Below are 17,877 nucleotides of genomic sequence, written 5' to 3'. Positions count from 1 at the left end.
CATTGTAACGCCTCTCTCCATCTCACACCTCACAAATCCATCAGCAAATTCGAGTTTGCTTCTATTTATTTTCTGAACCCAACTACTCCTCATCCCTTGCAGCGTTCCTGATCTGGTCAAAGCCACCACTACCTCCTACCTGGTTTTCTGCAAGTCTCCTAACTGGGCTCCTGGCTTCTACTCTGTCCCTCTGGTGTCCATCTCCACACAGCAGCCAGAGTGATCCTTTTAAAACTTAGGTTAGGCCGGGCGCGGTGGCTCACGCCTGTAATCCCAGCACTTTGGGAGGCCAAGGCGGATCACCTGAGGTCAGGAGTTCGAGACCAACCTGGACAACATGGCAAAACCCCGTCTCTAGTAAAAATACAAAAATTAGCCAGGCATGGTGGTGCACTCCTGTAATCCCAGTTACTAGCGAGGCTGAGGCAGGAGAATGGCTTGAACCCAGGAGGTGGAGGTTGCAGTGAGCAGAGATCGTGCCATTGCACTCCAGCCTGAGCAACTAGAGTGAAACTCCATCTCAGAAAAATAAATAAATGAATAAATAAATAAATAAAAGTTAGGTCAGATCATGTCACTTCTCTGCTCAAAACCCTCCAATCCCCCGACCCCATCCTGAGAAAAGGTGCAGCCTCTACAAGGCCTGCAAGAAAAGGCTCTGTACCCTCCAGCCTCTCTCCCCTCATCTGTTGTGCTCCTCCTTGCTCGGTCCTTCTGCAGCCACACTGGTCTCCTCATGGTTCCTCCAATATGCCAAGCATAGCCCTACCCCAGGGCCTTTGCATGTTCTATCTGCCCTGGATGGTTCTGCCCCCAGGTAGCCATATGGCTCACTCCCTCACCTCCTTCAGCTCTTTCTTGGAATCTCACCTTCTTAATGAAGCCTCCTCAGACTGCCATATTTAAAATTGCAGCCCCTGCTCTCATATCCTCTATGTTCATTTCTTTATTTTTCGCCATATCATCTCCACCATTCAGTTGGTATTTAGTTGATCTTTGTTTTGTTGAGTTTAGATTTCATCACACTAGACCTCACTAGACTGTAAGCTCCACCAGGGTAGGGGTTTTGTCTGCTTTGTCCCAGCATCTCCAGTGCTTAGAACAATACCCAGTTCCAGTAGATGCTCTATTACATTTTATATTCAAGCTCAACAGATAAATGAATAAGATGGATGTGCTTCACAACTGAGTCACAGCTGATGTATTCATTCAATCAAGGGAGTAAGAACTGCTTAAATCCCATCTTCCACTGTTTATCAGCTGTATGACCTGTAACAAGACACAACCTCAGAGTCTCAGGTTCTGATGAGTAAAATGAGAATGACAACGGTTCCTACCTCATAAGATTGTGTGGCTAAATAAGTTTATAAAGGCCAGGTGCAGTGGCTCATGCCTGTAACCCCAGCCCTTTGAGAGGCCGAGGCAGGCGGATCACTTGAGGCCAGGAGTTTGAGACCAGCCTGGCCAACATGGTGAAACCCCATCTCTACTAAAAATGCAAAAATTAGCCAGGCGTGGTGGCACACGCCTGTAATACCAGCTACTCAGGAGGCTGAGGCAGGAGAATTGCTTGAATCCAGGAGGCAGAGGTTGCAGTGAGCTGAGATGATGCCACTGCACTCCAGAGTGAGACTCTGTCTTAAAAAAATAAAGTTTTAAAAAGTGCTTTGTCTAGCACTTCGATATGTGTTAGACGCATTGGTTAGTATTATTAGTATTATTGTTTTTGTTATTACTACTGTTGTTGTTATTCTCAGATATCATAATACCCCAAGTAAAACTCTTCAGCCACTGGGTAGAAGAAAAAAGAACATGGAATCGTTTTATAAGCAGCTACCACATAGGAGGGTGGCTGCAACCTAGGAATCTTTTGGATTTCTCATTAGAAGCTGCTGCATTCTAATACTGTAAAGTGCACCATTAATAACTTCCTTAGAGAAGCCAAAAAAGGGCATGGTAGGAAGTAGGAAAATATTTTCCAACCACTGCAGATTACAAAATAGACTCCCTGCATTCATCAAGTGTTTTCTTCCCCCAATGGGGTAATCTCAAGTACATGACACAAGATAAACACAGAGCCATGCTCCATGAAATTTATGAAAGGATGTTGTTTATTTTTATCACATTTATTGGACTTGAAAGATATCCTTTAGTTCTCAAATCAACATCGGCGTGCATGTTTAGTTCTGGGTTGCTGAGTGCTTTAACAAATAACAAAGGTCTGATCTTTCACCTCCTGAAATGCAGGCCACTCACATGCCAGAGGGCAGAGGTCTGAAGATGGTTTGGGTGGTTTTGTGCAGCAGCGATATGTTGAGGTTTTATAGCAGCTTTTTTGGGCAGTTTAAGGCAATCTGAAATTCTGAAAGATTCAGAAAATGGGAGTGGGGCTGGGCACTGTGGCTCATGCCTGTAATCCCAGCACTTTGGGAGGCTGAGGCAGGAGGATTGCTTGAAGTCAGGAGTTGGAGACCAGCCTGGGCAACATAGACAGATTCTCATCTCTGTAAAAAATAAAACAAAATAAATTAGCCAAGCATGGTGGCATGTGCCTGTAGTCCCAGCTACTCAGGAGGCTGACGTGGGAGGATTGCTTGAGCCCAGGAATTTGAGGCTGCAGTGAGCTATGATCACACCACTGCATTCCAGCCTGGGTGACAGAATGAGACCCCGACTCTCAAGAAAGAACGAAAAGAAAGAAAATTGGAGTGGTTATACCTGTCAGGAGAGTCAATCAACTCCAGTTAGGCTATTTGGATCCTCACACAGGCCTCTAATGAATGGTAACAGCTCAGTCCATACTTCAGAGCGATTTGGTGCTCTTGCCACTGCCTGTGCTAGGAGTGTCCAAGAAATAGCCCTCATCACCCCTTCCCTAACTGCCCCCTGACCTCCCCTCAGCCCTTCCCACCACTGCTGTTTTCCTTTCTGGAGAAGTCTGAGGAATGAAGAGGTCAAGGCTAGGATGATGAATGGACAGTCACGCACGTGTTCCCTCCAGCTCTGTGATTCTGCCTGGCAGTGCCAGTGTGTACTCACCCATTTCCCTATCTTGGGGTCCCTCTGCTCTGCTTCTGAGGTAAAAGGGGATCTGGGAATTTGGAGGAAGAAGCCTTCTCCATCTTTTATTCTTTACTATCCTCTTAATATCAAAAGTATCAAAATTATTTTAACTCCAAATAAAAGTAAAATTTGGATCTCTGATATTTTATCATTTTTGGATGAGAGAGAACTGTAAAGAATAAAAGATGGGGAAGTCTTCATGGCCTAACAACCCCTGTCCCCCTTTCATTTCAGAAACAGAGGAGAAGGACCCCGGGACAAGGAAATGCATAAGTGTGCACTGCCAGACAGAATCATGAGAAGTAGATCAATACTCTAGGAGGGCTCAAAATATTCTCCAAATCGTGGGCAGCAAGCATGCTGTGACTAAAGTACTGAGGGCTGAGTGGGGCAGCCCTAGGGACTTGATTTCTGAGGCTTGCCAGCTCAAAGAACTTCCGCTATTAGACAGGTAATTCTATAAGCTCCACACGCATCCCATAACATTTCCAATAAATGTCCTGCCCAAAAGATTTAGTCGAGGGCCAGGCCAGTATCCTCCTCCCTACTCTGCACTAAACACACACACACACACACACACACATGCACACACTGCACCCTCACTAGTATTATTAAGCCTCCCAATCAATTGCATATTCAAAAATCAACCTTGGCTGGGCACGGTGGCTCACATCTATAGTTCTAGCACTTTAGGAGTCCGAAGTAGGAGGATCACTTGAGCCCAGGAGCTTGAGACCAGCCTGGGCTACGTTGAGTGACCTTGTCTCTGCAAAAAATACAAAAATTAGCCGAGTATGATGGCACATGCCTGTAGTCCCAGCTACTTGGGAAGTTGAGGTGGGAGGATCACTCGAGTCCGGGAGTTCAAAGCTACAATGAGCTATGATTGCACCACTGTACTCCAGCCTGGGCAACAGAGTGAGACTCCATCTCAAAACAAACAAACAAACAAACAAAAACTAACCTTTCTGGACACTCACACCACAGTGTTAGTTGACACTGATGCCTATGGTCAGGTCCTCAGGAAAGCTGTTGCTCCCATTAAAATATCAATAGTAGGCAAAATACGCCCAGTCTGTTCCCAGAAAATTTTCCCTCTACAGTGGGATGAGAACCAGTTTCCATTTTTCCTTTTGGGTCACCTGCCCCCCAGTGCCCAGAATGATGAGAGGAGAACCGGTGGCCAGCAGAGAATCCTGAAGCCTGATTCTACCACTCCTTCGGAAGTGAGACCATAGCAAGGTGATAACCAAAGTTGGGAAAAGACACTCTTCATCATTGACCCTTCTAAGAAAAGGCGAGGTCCTTGAATTTTACCTGAAAGAAAAGATCACCCCAGAGGAGGAGGATAGTAAAATAGCATTCTTCACTGGTACAAGGAAGGCTTTCATTCCTCAGTGAAAGATGGTTCATGATTAAAACAACTTTGAAGACTGGTAAAAGGATGCTTGGAACTTCCTGACCAGGCTGAGAACACAATGACTTGAGGAACTATGTGAGGCAGGTTTTCTAACTCTCCCTTTTATTGATTTACTTTTTTGAGACAGAATCTCTCTCTGTCACCCAGGCTGGAGTGCAGTGGCACAATCTTTGCTCACTGCAACCTCCACCTCCCAGGTTCAAGCAATTCTCCTGCCTCAGCCTCCCAAGTAGCTGGGATTATAGGCATGCACCACCACACCCAGCTAATTTTAGGATTTTTAGTAGAGACAGGGTTTCACCATGTTGCCCGGCTGGTCTCGAACTCCTGATCTCAAGCGACCCACCCACCTTGGCCTCCCAAAGTGCTGGGATTACAGGCATGAGCCACTGCGCCCGGCCTCTTTCCCTTTTGTTTTCTAACATTCCTGGGCCCTATAACACTTTTGTTTCTTCTGAGAAGGGGTCTCACTATGTTGTCCAAGTGGGTACCAAACTCCTGGGCTCAAGAGATCTTCCCACCTCAGCCTCCCAAAGTATTGGGATTACAGGCGTGAGCCACTGTGCCTGGCCAGTGGAGCCTGCCACATATGGGGAATGTACCCTGCTGTGCTGCGGGGCGTATTAGACTCATTCAGCTGACTCGTGGTTCCACCTCGGGAAAGTCACTCAGGCGGCTCCAGCCTCAGCTTCCTCAGCTGTAAAACGGAGACACTGGGCTTGATGAGCTTTGAGATCCTTCCCAGTTTCCAAGTTTAGTGATTCTGGAAAGCAATGACTTCCCTGACTACTTTCTATCCTGCAGTAAGAGCATTGGAGTGGTAGCTGGTGTCCTTCTGAATCTAAAAGGTCTTCTCCAGAGTTTCATATCTGCCCATGAGTCAATGCTGAGCAAGAGTCAGTGCTGAGGCCAGGCGCGGTGTTTCACACCTGTAATTCCAGCACTTTGGGAGGCTGAGGCAGGCAGATCACCTGAGGTCAGGAGTTCGAGACCAGCCTGGCCAACATGGTAAAACCCCATCTTTACTAAAAACACAAAAATAAGCCAGGCGTGGTGGTGGTGCACACTTGTAATCCCACCTAACTGGGAGGCTGAGGCAGGAGAATCGCTTGAACCTGGGGTGGGGGCGGAAGTTGCAACGAGCCAGGATTGTGCCATTGCACTTCCAGCCTGGGTGAGAGAACGAGGTTCTGTCTCAAAAAAAAAAAAAAAAAAAAAAGAGTCACTGCTGAGGGGCCCACCCAGGAATCCCTCAGGGACAGAGGGGAACTTCCAGTGTATTCACAACCCCAGCCTGGAATGAGGATCCTGTGAGGTCCCCATGGTATCACTCCTGGTTTTATTAATTACAGAATCCCTGAGATTGGTCCTCCCTTGTCTAATAACTCAGTCATTTAATCACGCACTTGAAAAAAATTCCAAGTTCTTTACCCCAAAGCTGAATGTGAGAAGTAGCTATGGGTCAGAGGCAAAAGAACAAAGGACGCCCTCCCCCAGAGAGGAAATACAGAAAGGATTATCCTTTTTCAAAGGTGAAATAATGAAATGCTTTCCTTCCCCTGGACAGGCAATTTTATCAGGGCTCACTGCAAGGGGAACAAGATGCTACTGTCTTGACTTAATTGGCATAATATCTCCCCCTCCTCCAAATGATCAGTCAGACGGCTGCTAAACGCTTTTTGCTTAAGGATGAAATCCCTTTTGAACATTGCACCTTCCATCTGGCAACCACCCCAGAGCCTTCACAAGGCCTTGCTTTTGCTAACAACTCCCTCCTTCACTGAGCTGCGAGCTGCTGTTTCCAAGGGCTCTGGGGGATTCTCTCTGGCCCTGTTATCTTTGCCCCTCGCCTCCACCCAGCATGGGTATTAGACTTGTCAACAAGGGAGGCAGTCTCTACAAGGGAGGCAGTCCCTAGAAAAGTCATAAACTTGGAAACCAGAGGGAACATCTCTCTGGGTCTTCATGGAGACTCCACAGCTGTATAAAGGGGACCTGGGGGTAGAGACCCACTGGAGGGGAATATTGTGAGGAAAAGCCTAAACTTTTTGTCCCTTGGAGTGGAAGAAAGGGAAGAATTGAGCAATCGGTAAAGAGTTCTGCAGGTCAGAGCTTGCACGACCCGATTGATCTACCTCTTCCTTATTGTTCTTGTCAGACACCGGCCAGCTGTCCCCCCAGCCAACAAAGTCTGGCCGGCTCCACAAGGCAGGGCTGGGTGGGTGGCCACTGCTCTTATCTCCACCACCTTCTGGTGTGGAGAACGTGGAGGCAAGCTATCCAGACATCGTAGCTGCCTGCTTGTCCCTCCGGGAACCTCATTTCCAGAGGAATTTGAGAACAGAGAAACTTAAAAGTGATCTGGGGTGGGCGAAAAGGTGTAATCTCACAAGGAGAACAATAGAAAGTCCAAATGTCAGGCGGACAGATAGCAGAAGACACTTACATACAGAGCCCCATGCTGTTCCCTGCCCAATTCTGAGCTTTCTTGATAACTGAATCGGATGACTAATGGAGCTCCCACCTCACCCGCCCCCAAATCATGCATATTATTGAAGAAGACTCTTAGATCTCAGCTTAGAACTTCAACCCAATAACAAGTTAATAAATTACCAAAGGTCAAATTAAACTTACTCATTAGATACCCACCCATTCCCCACTATTATACCTTTTTCCCACCCATACACCCACACCATTCCATGAAAAAAAGAGAATTTAAATCTCTAGGATTTTTTGTTGTTTGCTTTTTTTAACCAGGACTTTCTGCACCAAAGCTTATCCAACCCAACTTGTCTACAATTGTGTCTCAGTACATGGGTTTCCATAGCCCCATTCCTGGTATGCATGAAACTCACAGAAAAGCCAGGGATCCAAATCACACTATTAAATTTCAACACGAATTACCACCAAAGAGACAACGGGCTTAAATGTCAAGAAACAAGAGGTTCCTAGCTGTTTTCTTCTTGTGGTGTTGGTTTTTTGGAAGGCTAGAAAGTTCAAAAGGACTTCGCCAAAAATAACTATACAAGTGAGAGGATTTCTAACATTATCTTCCCCTTTTTTAACTGGATAGCATCTTTCATTGGAACTGAATTTCAGACCGAGTCTGGTGGCTCACGCCTGTAATCCCAGCACTTTGGGAGGCCAAGGTGGGTGGATCACTTGAGTCCAGGAGTTCAAGACCAGCCTGGCCAACATGGTGAAACCTCATCTCTACTAAAAATACAAAAATTAGCCAGACATGGTGATGCACGCCTGTAATCCCAGCTAGTCGGGAGGCTGAGACAGGAGAATTGCTTGAATCCAGGAGGCGGAGGTTGCAGTGAGCCAAGATCATGCCACTGCACTCCAGCCTGGGTGACAGAGCAAGACTCCGTCTTGTGGGTGGTGGGAGGGTGCGAAGGGGTGAAGAACTGAATTTCACACACAATACTTCATATCTCCAGACACAAAATAAGATCAAAGAAAATTTTTAAATAACTCCAGAAAAGAAGCCAGTTTTCCTCAGTAGGTTGGAAGAATGTGATGAACTTTTATTTTTAAGTTTTAATTCTGGAACATAAGATTCCATCATAAGCTGTCCAGGATAAAAATCAGTGGTGTCGACCTGTGTATAAGTCAGTCTACCATATTGCTGGTGGTTTGGTCTAAAGGGATTATTACAAAAGCTCAAGTGCGTCAAAGAAAGGTTGTATAGAGTCATGCCCATCACAGCTGTCATACTCTTGATTGAAAAGGAGGCCTCATCCCTTGAAGCCTTCTCCAGCCTGTACGAGAATCTCAGAAAGTAGAGTGATGGTGACCTCATTATACGAAGTCCCCTGAACCAAGAATGACCAGCCTAAAGAGGCTTCCTGTTCCCCACCCCAGCACCAGCTAGCCCCCCATCCACATTTCAACGCAGAAACACACAAAGAGGCATCAACAGCCCTTAGGACTTTTGAGAAGCGATACAAAGTTAGAATGGAAATAGGTTTTAGTTGTAAAATACCAGCTTAGAGCTGAGCTTCATTTCATGGGAACCATGTTGTCCTTAGTCTTTCCCTGCTAGCATTCCTGGGGCCGGAGCATGGGGAAGAGTTAGTTTTCCCCGAGCCCAACCCCACTGAGAAAAGTGTTCACATCCATTCCAGACACAGCTCAAGTTGATAAAGCAGAGAAAATATCAAGCCTTCTCTCCTTTGACCACCATGAAGAATCCTCTTTGCAAACCTGTGTCTCTTATGCTCGAGTGTTGGGTATTGACCCATCTGACTAGTTCTCAGGCAGCAGAACTTCTGAGAGAAAAGAAAAAGAGCAGACTTAAGGGCAGAAGTGAAAGGTTTACCTTCAAAACCACAGAGCAAAGCTTCTCGGCCTTTCTGTATTACAATCCCCATTTTGAAAGTTCATTTCGCAGCCCCTCCCACAAAAAAAGATGTTAAAAAAAATTTTTTTTTCCACAAAAAGCACAGCTATTAGATCTGAGAACCAGAACCAGTTGTAAAATGGGGGCCTTAATGTTACCTGATAATAAAAAGGCAAACAGTGATGAGGTCCCCACGGCCACAAGGCTGCTGACTCCCCTTGGAATCATTTCCAGGACGAGGTAGAACAGCCTGCTACTGCTGGTGAGCAAATGAACAACTCAGCTGTTCTAGGCAACTGGTTATCCATTGTCTACCAGACATGGGGATGCTTCCTGATTATTGTCCAAAATTCTGAGTCATTCATATGTATGGGTCTTCCTATTGCCACTTACTTTTCTACTACGAAACAAACAAAAAAATTTCCATATATAATATAATAATATACAATATTAACATAATATGTTTTATATATTATAAGACATATAATATAGCATAATATATATCTTAAATAATATTAAAATATAACATATAATAATATGGTTGTATAGAGTCGTGCCCATCAAAGCTGTCATACTCCTGATTGAAAAGGAAGCCTCATCCCTTGAAACCTTCTCCAGCCTGTATGAGAATCTCAGAAAGTACAGTGATGATGACCTCATTATATGAAGTCCCCTGAACAAAGAATGACTGAGCCTAAAGAGGCTTCCCATATCCCCACAGCACTGTCTAGCCCCCCCATCCACATGCCAGTGCACAAACACACACAACCTGGTTGGCAAGTTCATATATAACATATATTATATGAGATATATATCATATCTTATATTACATGTTATATGTTATATATGATATTATAGATAATTTATATATTAGTAGTATTACTTATATAGATAGGATCTCACTATGTTGCCCAGGCTGTTCTCAGACTCCTGGCCTCAAATGACCCTCCTGCCTCAGCCTCTCAAAGTGCCGGGATTACAGGCATGAGCCACTGTGCCCAGCCTTTTAAAAAAAAAATGTTAAGACCAGCCTGACCAACATGACGAAACCCCATCTCTACTAAAGATACAAAAATTAGTTGGGTGTGGTGGCACATGAGTATAATTCCAGCTACTCAGGAGGCTGAGACAGGAGAATCGCTTGGACCCAGGAGACGGAGGTTGCGGTGAGCCGAGATCACGCCACTGCATTCCAGCCTGGGCAACAGAGCGAGACTCCGTCTCAAAAAAAAAAAAAAATTACAGAGACAGTAGATTTTTATTCTTTTCTTTTCTCTCTCTCTTGCCACCAGCACACTTTTCTAAGACCTAGGACACCTGGTTTATTCTGCTTCCTCTGCTTTTTTTATAAGCTCTGGCCTTGTGGCTGCACAGTCACAACTTGATTCTCCTTCTGCTTTTCCTTATAACAAGGATGTACTAGTTCCCCTAGTAGAGACCTAGAACTACCACTGACCTCTTTCCTCATGAAGTTAACACTTCTATTTGCTCAAACTATCTTCCAGGTTTTTTTTTTTTAATGCTTCTTTTATCATAGAAAATTGACTTATTAATCCTGGACATATTGCTACTGGTATTTAAGTGTTGTTCATCAAAAAAAGAAAAGTGGAGAGGGGGCAGGTGCTAAGAGAAGCTTTAATACCTAAGCACAGATTGCATATCAGCTGGTTTTTCTTCTCTCTAGCCACTGAGGGTTTTAACATCTTATTTCCAAAAATGAGTTCTTAAGAGAGGTTAACAGTAAAGTGTCAAATACTTTTGATGCTACTCTTAGTTGGCAACTTACATAATTAACCAAATATATTAGGAGAGTTTATAGCCAACATTTGTTACTTTGGTTATTTAACCAAAGACAATGGCTCTGGTCAAGATGAGGAGTCCGAGCCTGCAGCCTGGCTCCCTCTCAATTTGCTGTGAATTGGGCAATCCATTTAGCTTAGTAAGGTCTCTGTCTCTTCACGCAAAAACCTACCTTCTGTCTACTTACCCACAATTCAAGGCCATCACAAGATCAATAGAAGAGTGGTTGCAAAGCTGCTTGCAAGAAAGAATGGGAATCATTAATGCACCCATTCAATCAGATGCCATATGGACCTAGCACGTGTGTCAAGGGCCTAGCCCGGCATAAGGATTAGGAGATGGGATGAGACCTGGAGCCTTATTCTGCTTTTATCTATCTACATATCTGCTGCCCCCTCTAGACTATTTCCTGAGGGCAGATATTTTATGCGTTCATTCATTAATTTATTCATTGGCTTTTAACCAGCACTTTGAGAGGCTGAGGTGGGAGGATTGCTTGAACCCAGGAATTGAAGACCAGCCTGGGCAACATAGTGAGACCCCATCTCAAATTTTTTAAAAAAGCATGAGCAATTTACAAAATATTTTGAAATCTCTGGTCCCATTTTACATTGCCACAACCCGTTTTTCACGTGAAGAAATGAAAGCTTCTATAACTCTTCCGTCTGTCAGAGAGAACCGAGGCCCACAGCAGCGGCACATCTTTCCCAAGGTGACCCAGAAGCATAAAATCTGCAGGCCCACATTTCCAGAGAGTTGCTTAGCAACCTCCAATTGTCAAAAAATATATTCTCACAAGACGCATAGAGATAAGAAGGCAGTGTCTGTAAAGCCGCATAAGAGCAATCATGTAAGAGTTGTGGACTAAGCTGGAGATTTCCAGAATCAGCCATGTTCTCATACCCACAGCATCACCACAACCTAGCATGTACCATACGGAGCCAAACAAGGGAGGCTCTTAGTTACTGAGACATGTAAGAGGCACATTTCTCCATGACCCCTGAGGGAATTTATAGCCTGCTAATCCCAGCCCAGAGCATTCTTGGAAATGCCACCTGCTTATGCCAGCATTTCAGAGAAAGGAGCAGTAGGCCACAGCTACTGGTGAGAGAGCCGCAGAGTCATTTAGGGATGAGCGGTGCTGTGGGAACAGCGGGGCCTGCCAGGCACCCCCACACGGGAGGGTAGCTCTGACTGTGCTGTGCATAGGCCATTTATGCCATTTTCTTTGCAGAATCCCAGCCTTCTCCCCTCCTACTACTGCTTTCTGGTTTTCAGAGAAGGAAGAAGTCCCAGAGCAGACTTCTAAGCAGCAGGGGGACCAAAAAACCTCCTCACCGTTCCTTGCTGTTTGGGGAGTCAGTGGCCGCCCCTGCAGGCTGTTTCCCAGGACTTGTATCAATGGCTTCTGTCCAGATTTAGCAATGCCCAATGGTGGGAGATAGGGAGGAAAAGGAGGAACCTTTCTCCCCGCTCCATCACCACTGTAGAGGATGCATCTTGTCCAGGGCTCAAGCTCCTGAGAGATGGACCCACGGCGGTCCCAGCCTCTGCTAGGTGACCCCAGTGCCTACACCCAAGTAGTACAACCTCCTCCTCTGTCCCTCCAGCCTGCGTGGCAGTGGCTTCCTACGGCAGCCAACCTCTCTGTTGTCTCACTGTCCCATTTGGCTTCTCAACCATCCCTTCCCCCACATAACCAGTTCCTGGCATGGCAGCAGTCCCTCTGTTGGAAATACTCAGAGTGGGTCCTGTTTTACTTGGTTGGACAGTGACCCCGGCAGAAATAGTGGATACTATCCCAGTAGCCTTCTTTCCTGTTTTCAGGTCACAGGTCCAAAAGTAGGAAGAAATCAGTCTGGACTGAAAGAAACCACTTTGTGAATAAGGAGACCTCCCAGCGAAAATCAGCAGTGCAGCCGGCCACACGTCCTCCTGACTGGAGTGTTGAAAACAACACGAGGCTGTGGCACACCCTTGCCACGCTGAGCCACCGCACACATGGAGCCTCTTTATAACCTGCCTGCAAGGATTGGGCAACACTTGGCAAGAAACCCTGGAAAAATCAGCTGACTGTATGGAGACTTTCCTCAGCATTCAATGCCACGCAACCACCCCTGAAGTTCCCCTTGGGAAATCACCTTTGGCATCTTCAAAAGTGGCTGGGTCAGAGGTTGTTCAGAAAAAGCTCAATGTGAGCTCATGGAGGAGGCAGGGAGGCAGAGGATGTCAGGGAACCACTCGTGATGGCCAAGTATACTTCAGAGAAAGGAGCCAGGGATGGCCTCCATCAGTCTCTGGCTTTGCAGTCCCAAGAGCAAGACTTCAGAGAAGCAGGCATGGCCCATCCCTGGCCCAGCCACAATGGCTCTGGGCTGCACGACAGGAAGACAAGGGGAGTTCTATTCTGTGACTTCGACTCTCCCAGATTGTGGGGAGCAGCAAGTACAGGATCAAATGAGTTTCCCGTCAAGTAAAGTGCTCTGCTGACTGAAGATGTTTGACGCCAAGGCCCAGAGGGCACATTTGTCAAACTCTCAAAAAAATAGAAACCAGGATCAAAGCAGAAACACTTTCCAAATATAAACATTTGTCACCTACATTTACTTTTGATGTGCCCCATTTTGAATACATTTCTCCTTTATAAAAAGGGCAGCTTAATCTTTCCGTACACACACTCGGGCCCTTCAGACGGAGACCAGGGACAATTTGGGGTGGGGGGGGGGGGAAGTGAGAAAGGAAGTGCCAGCTAGGCGAAGTAAAGGTTTAGAGAAGGAAAAAAATCCCTCCAGAAGAGTGAAATGGGAAGAAAAAAGGAAACCAGCATTTATGGAGGCCCTGGAATTTTATATATTACCTCATATTTTCCCGCAAATTAACTCTGGAAAAAGGGCATCATTATTCTGATTTTGCAAAGCGTTTAAGTTGGTCACGTATCCAAGATAGCCCAAACTTGTAAGAGTACAGTCAGAATTTCCTCCCAGCTGTGTCTGACTCTGAAATCCTTGCTGTCCTCTGTAACAAACAGCCTCATCAGCTAAGAAAGGTAAGTGACCTCAGGTCAGTAGAAAGTCCATAGGGCACCCAGGGTCCAATCACACTCATGGCTATGCATGTTGAAGGTTCTAGAGCTGGAAGACACCTCTGTGGTCCTCAGATCCAGCTTCTCCCTGAGACCAGCTGCCCAATTCCAGAAGCACGGGGCTTTGATTCTACTTTTCTTCTTCTTCGCTTTTATTTTTTGAGGCAGGGTCCAGCTGTGTTGCCCAGGCTGGTGTGCAGTGGCATAATCATAGCTCACTGCAGCCTCAAACTCCTGGGCTCAAGGATCTTCCTGCCTGAGCCTCCTGAGTAGCTGGGACAGCAGGTGCGCACCACCATGCCCAGCTGATTTTGTAGAGATGAGGTCTCCCTATGTTGCTCAGGCTGGTCTCAAACTCCCGGCCTCAAGCAATCCTCCCACCTTGGCCTCCCAAAGTGTTGGAATTACAGGCATGAGCCATCACACCTGGCCTGATACTACTTTTATTTCTATTTATTTATTTATTTATTTAGAGATGGAGTTTTGCTCTTGTTGCCCAGGCTGGAGTGCAGTGGCACGATCTCAGCTCACTGCAACCTCCACCTCCCGGATTCAAGTGATTCTCCTGCCTCAGCCTCCAGAGTAGCTGGGATTATAGGCATGCGCCACCACGCCCAGCTAATTTTATATTTTTAGTAGAGATGGGGTTTCTCCACATTGGTCAGGCTGGTCTCAAACTCCCAACTTCAAGTGATCCACCCGCCTCCATAGTGCTGGGATTACAGTCGTGAGCCACTGCACCTGGCCTTTTATTTTATTATATAAATATAAATTTTTTCGAGACAGAGTCTCCCTCTGTTACCCAGGCTGGAGTGCAGTGGTGCAATCTTGGCTCACTGCAACCTCCACCTCCCAGGTTCAAGCGATTCTCCTCTCTCAGCCTCTCGAGTAGCTGGAATTACAGGCATGCACCACCAGATCCGGCTAATTTTTTGTATTTTTAGTAAAGACAGGGTTCCACTATGTTGGCTAGGCTGGTTTCAAACTCCTGGACTCAAGTGATCTGCCGGCCTCGGCCTCCCAAAGTGCTGGAATTATTGGAGTGAGCCACCGTGCCCAACCCTTACTTTTAAACCACGCAGCTCTGGCACAAGTTTCAACAAAACAGCACAAAAGATCGAGGTCTAGAAAACTAGCGTGTACCTGCCATCTATCTACGGCATGACATGTCCCTCATCTAAAATGCCTTCTCTTTACCTGTCCAAGCCATACTCACTGCTGGAGTCTCAAAGATTACCTTCTGTACAGTCTTTCAGAATATGTCGCACCCTGCCTCCTGACCTCTTTTGAACTCTATTGTCTTCTATGTGTTCCCAAATGGTTTCCATGGATTAGTCCCTATCCTTTAACAGGATTGTAAGTGCCCTGGAGAAATTAGAGCAAAGGGGAGAAATTTCAGCAAGGGATGTGGGCCGTTCTCCTCTCAGAACCAGGCTGTATGTTTGGAAGCCACTGGGGACTGAGCAAAGAGAGTAAGGAAGACGGAGCTGGGGAGGGCTCTGGCCACTCTAAGAGGTCCGTGCAGTTGCTGCCCACAGTGAGTGGCTTCTCCTACTGGCCTAGAAAAGGGAGAAGAGGGGCTGGGCATGGTGGCTCACATCTGTAATCCCAGCACTTTGGGAGGCCGAGGCAGGTGGTTCATGAGGTCAGGAGTTCAAGACCAGCCTGGCCAACATGATGAAACCCCATCTCTACTAAAAATACAAAAATTAGCTGGGTGTGGTGGTGCGTGCCTGTAGTCTCAGCTACTTGGGAGGCTGAGGCAGGAGAATTGCTTGAACCTGGGAGGCAGAGGTTGCAGTGAGCCAAGATCGTGCCACTACACTCCAGCCTGGGCAACAAAGTGAGAAAAAAAGAAGGGGGAGAAAGGGGTGCTAATGTTCTCTATCACAAATCATGAACCCTTGAAAGCCTCACTTCCTAAAAGAAAAACAGACAAAAAATTAGGACCTAGAGGGAGGAAGATGGAGCAGAGTTTGGGAGGGAGCTTCCCTCAACCTGTTACTCTGACAGGCACTGCTTTCTGCTTGTCCCCAGTGTGAAACCCTCCTGCCTTTGCTTCTGCCCAACTGGGAATCAGCCTTCCGATTCACTGAAAGGCCATCCCAGAGAGATTTACACTTCCCTAGCTGATCTATTCCTCTTGATGAGATTGTGAAATTCAGAGTTATAACATGAGGATCAGGTTTAATTTAGGAAATTTGGTCATTGTTGAGCGTGGTAAATCATCTTTCAAGCAAACACACTTACAGCCTTCAAGATAAAGTTCATTCCCCTGTGATGAGGTCGTTTCATGGAATGCCACGAGGTCCCCGGCAGGGTTTCAACGCCATTCAGTTACACTAGGTGAGACAGAGCTGCTTATAGCTGCTGGGATTTATGGGAACGTTGGCACCCAGGTGACGCGTTGGATAATCTTTAACAGAGGAAGACTGGCTGGTGCCTGCTCTTTGTTCCAACTCGACTTTCGTATTTGAGAACCCTTGTGATAGACTTTCTATTCACAGTTGCGTTTTGGGCTGTCACGGGCATGGCCTGGCGTGAGGTGCTGAGCAAACAAAGAACCCCCTGCCTGCATCTCCCTCCTGAAAGCTGGCAAGGCATGGACAGAATTCGCTCTCCACTGTACTATTTTGCAGAGGCAGCAGGGTGCCTTCTCCAACACATGTCATACCATCGCTTATTTTCTCAGGTAAAACATGATACATTTTGAGCTTCGAACACGTTTTACAAGTTTAGCTGCTGGTGTCACACAATGCATCTCTTGTCAAGGGCAGTCCATTTAGGAGGACATAAACTCACATACCCCCCCAAGCCATCACGCCCACATCCCAGGCAACTCGTTTAGACAATTTCTTGAAGATTGTTAACAGAGAAGGACTCAGGAGACAAGAAGTTGTCTTCATAACCAAGGGGAGACATTGGGAAACTGTCTGAGATGCCAAGTTCTTTGATTTGAAAGCTCTGAGTCTTTTTCTCCCCTGCACAAAAAATGCTTTGAGATACACAAAGGATATAACACAACTAGGCACTGAATGGCTAGACCAACCATTATTTTTCACCTGCACTGTACCTAATGCTAACTGTACTTTATCAATGGCCACAACATCCAACATGACTTTCATGCATTGGTTTTTTCCCAATGTGCCTCTGATGAAGATGAAGGTCTAGTCCCCGTGAGGCCAGCACTGGTCAGCACACTTTGATTAAGTTATCCAATTCTATTTGTCATATTAGTTAACCGGAAGTTCCTTGAGAGTGGGGACTGCATGTCTAGTACTACTCTGGCACCCACTCATAGGATGGGCTCAATGACTGCTTCATTAAAAATGATTGATGTGAAAGGCAAGTGCTGACCGGGCGCAGTGGCTTACGCCTGTAATCCCAGCACTTTGGAAGGCCGAGGTGGGTGGATCACCTGAGGTCAGGAGTTCAAGACCAGCCTGGCCAACATGGTGAAACCTCGTTTCTACTAAAAATACAAAAATTTAGCCAGGCATGGTGGTGGGCACCTGTAATCCCAGCTGAGGCTGAGGCAGGAGAATCACTTGAACCCGGGAAGCAGAGGTTGAAATAAGCCGAGATCATGCCACTGCACTCCGGCCTGGGCAACAAAAGTAAAACTCCATCTCAAAAAAAAAAGAAAGAAAGAAAGGCAAGTGTTTTGTTTTGTTTTGTTTTTTACAGATGCAAATGGCCACTGAGCATCACTTCATGCAACAAACATCTCTTAAACACTCACCCTTGGTTAAATACAGGGATGCAGAAATAAATCAGACACAGGCCAGGCGCACTGATTCACGCCTCTAATCCCAGCACTTTGGGAGGCCTAGGCGGGCAGATAACTTGAAGTCAGGAATTCGAGACCAAGCTGACCAACATGGCGAAACCCCATCTCTACTAAAAATACAAAATTTTCTACCAAACTGGTGTACTAATTAAAACCTCCTATGGCCCGGGTGTGGTGGGTTATGCCTGTAATCCCAGCACTTTGGGAGGCCGAGGCTGGCAGATCACCTGAGGTCAGGAGTTTGAGACCAGCCTGGCCAACATGGCAAAACCCCATCTCTACTAAAAATACAAAAATTAGCCGGGCATGGTGGCATGCACCTGTAATCCCAGCTACTCGGGAGGCCGAGGCAAGAGAATTGCTTGAACCCAGGA

The 17,877-nt window shown here is 46.3% G+C and overlaps 1 long non-coding RNA gene across 1 annotated transcript, besides 3 other annotated features; it reads right to left on the bottom strand.

The window, feature by feature from the left end:
• Positions 1–2,088: 2,088 nt before the first annotated feature.
• On the bottom strand, positions 2,089–16,066 carry LOC124904259 (uncharacterized). Its single transcript, XR_007066304.1, has 2 exons — positions 15,964–16,066; positions 2,089–2,504 (listed from the first exon to the last, which is right to left on the bottom strand). It is a non-coding gene; the product is annotated as an uncharacterized LOC124904259 (long non-coding RNA).
• Positions 3,667–3,876: a silencer, noted in NCBI's record as "fragment chr18:19676960-19677169 (GRCh37/hg19 assembly coordinates)". NCBI's record gives its function as "represses an EF-1alpha promoter that drives an FKBP-Casp9 reporter gene in an ReSE screen in phorbol 12-myristate 13-acetate-treated (for megakaryocytic differentiation) K562 erythroleukemia cells {active_cell/tissue: K562(+PMA)}" and the evidence as "EXISTENCE:reporter gene assay evidence [ECO:0000049][PMID:32094911]".
• Positions 13,041–13,213: a silencer, noted in NCBI's record as "fragment chr18:19667623-19667795 (GRCh37/hg19 assembly coordinates)". NCBI's record gives its function as "represses an EF-1alpha promoter that drives an FKBP-Casp9 reporter gene in an ReSE screen in phorbol 12-myristate 13-acetate-treated (for megakaryocytic differentiation) K562 erythroleukemia cells {active_cell/tissue: K562(+PMA)}" and the evidence as "EXISTENCE:reporter gene assay evidence [ECO:0000049][PMID:32094911]".
• Positions 16,033–16,327: an enhancer, noted in NCBI's record as "tiled region #2149; HepG2 Activating DNase matched - State 4:PromP". NCBI's record gives its function as "activates a minimal TATA promoter and a strong SV40 promoter by Sharpr-MPRA in HepG2 cells {active_cell/tissue: HepG2}" and the evidence as "EXISTENCE:reporter gene assay evidence [ECO:0000049][PMID:27701403]".

This window comes from Homo sapiens, chromosome 18 (assembly GCF_000001405.40).
Source record: "Homo sapiens chromosome 18, GRCh38.p14 Primary Assembly".
Classification (NCBI taxonomy): domain Eukaryota; kingdom Metazoa; phylum Chordata; class Mammalia; order Primates; family Hominidae; genus Homo; species Homo sapiens.
This window is presented reverse-complemented; position numbering and strand designations above follow the sequence as displayed.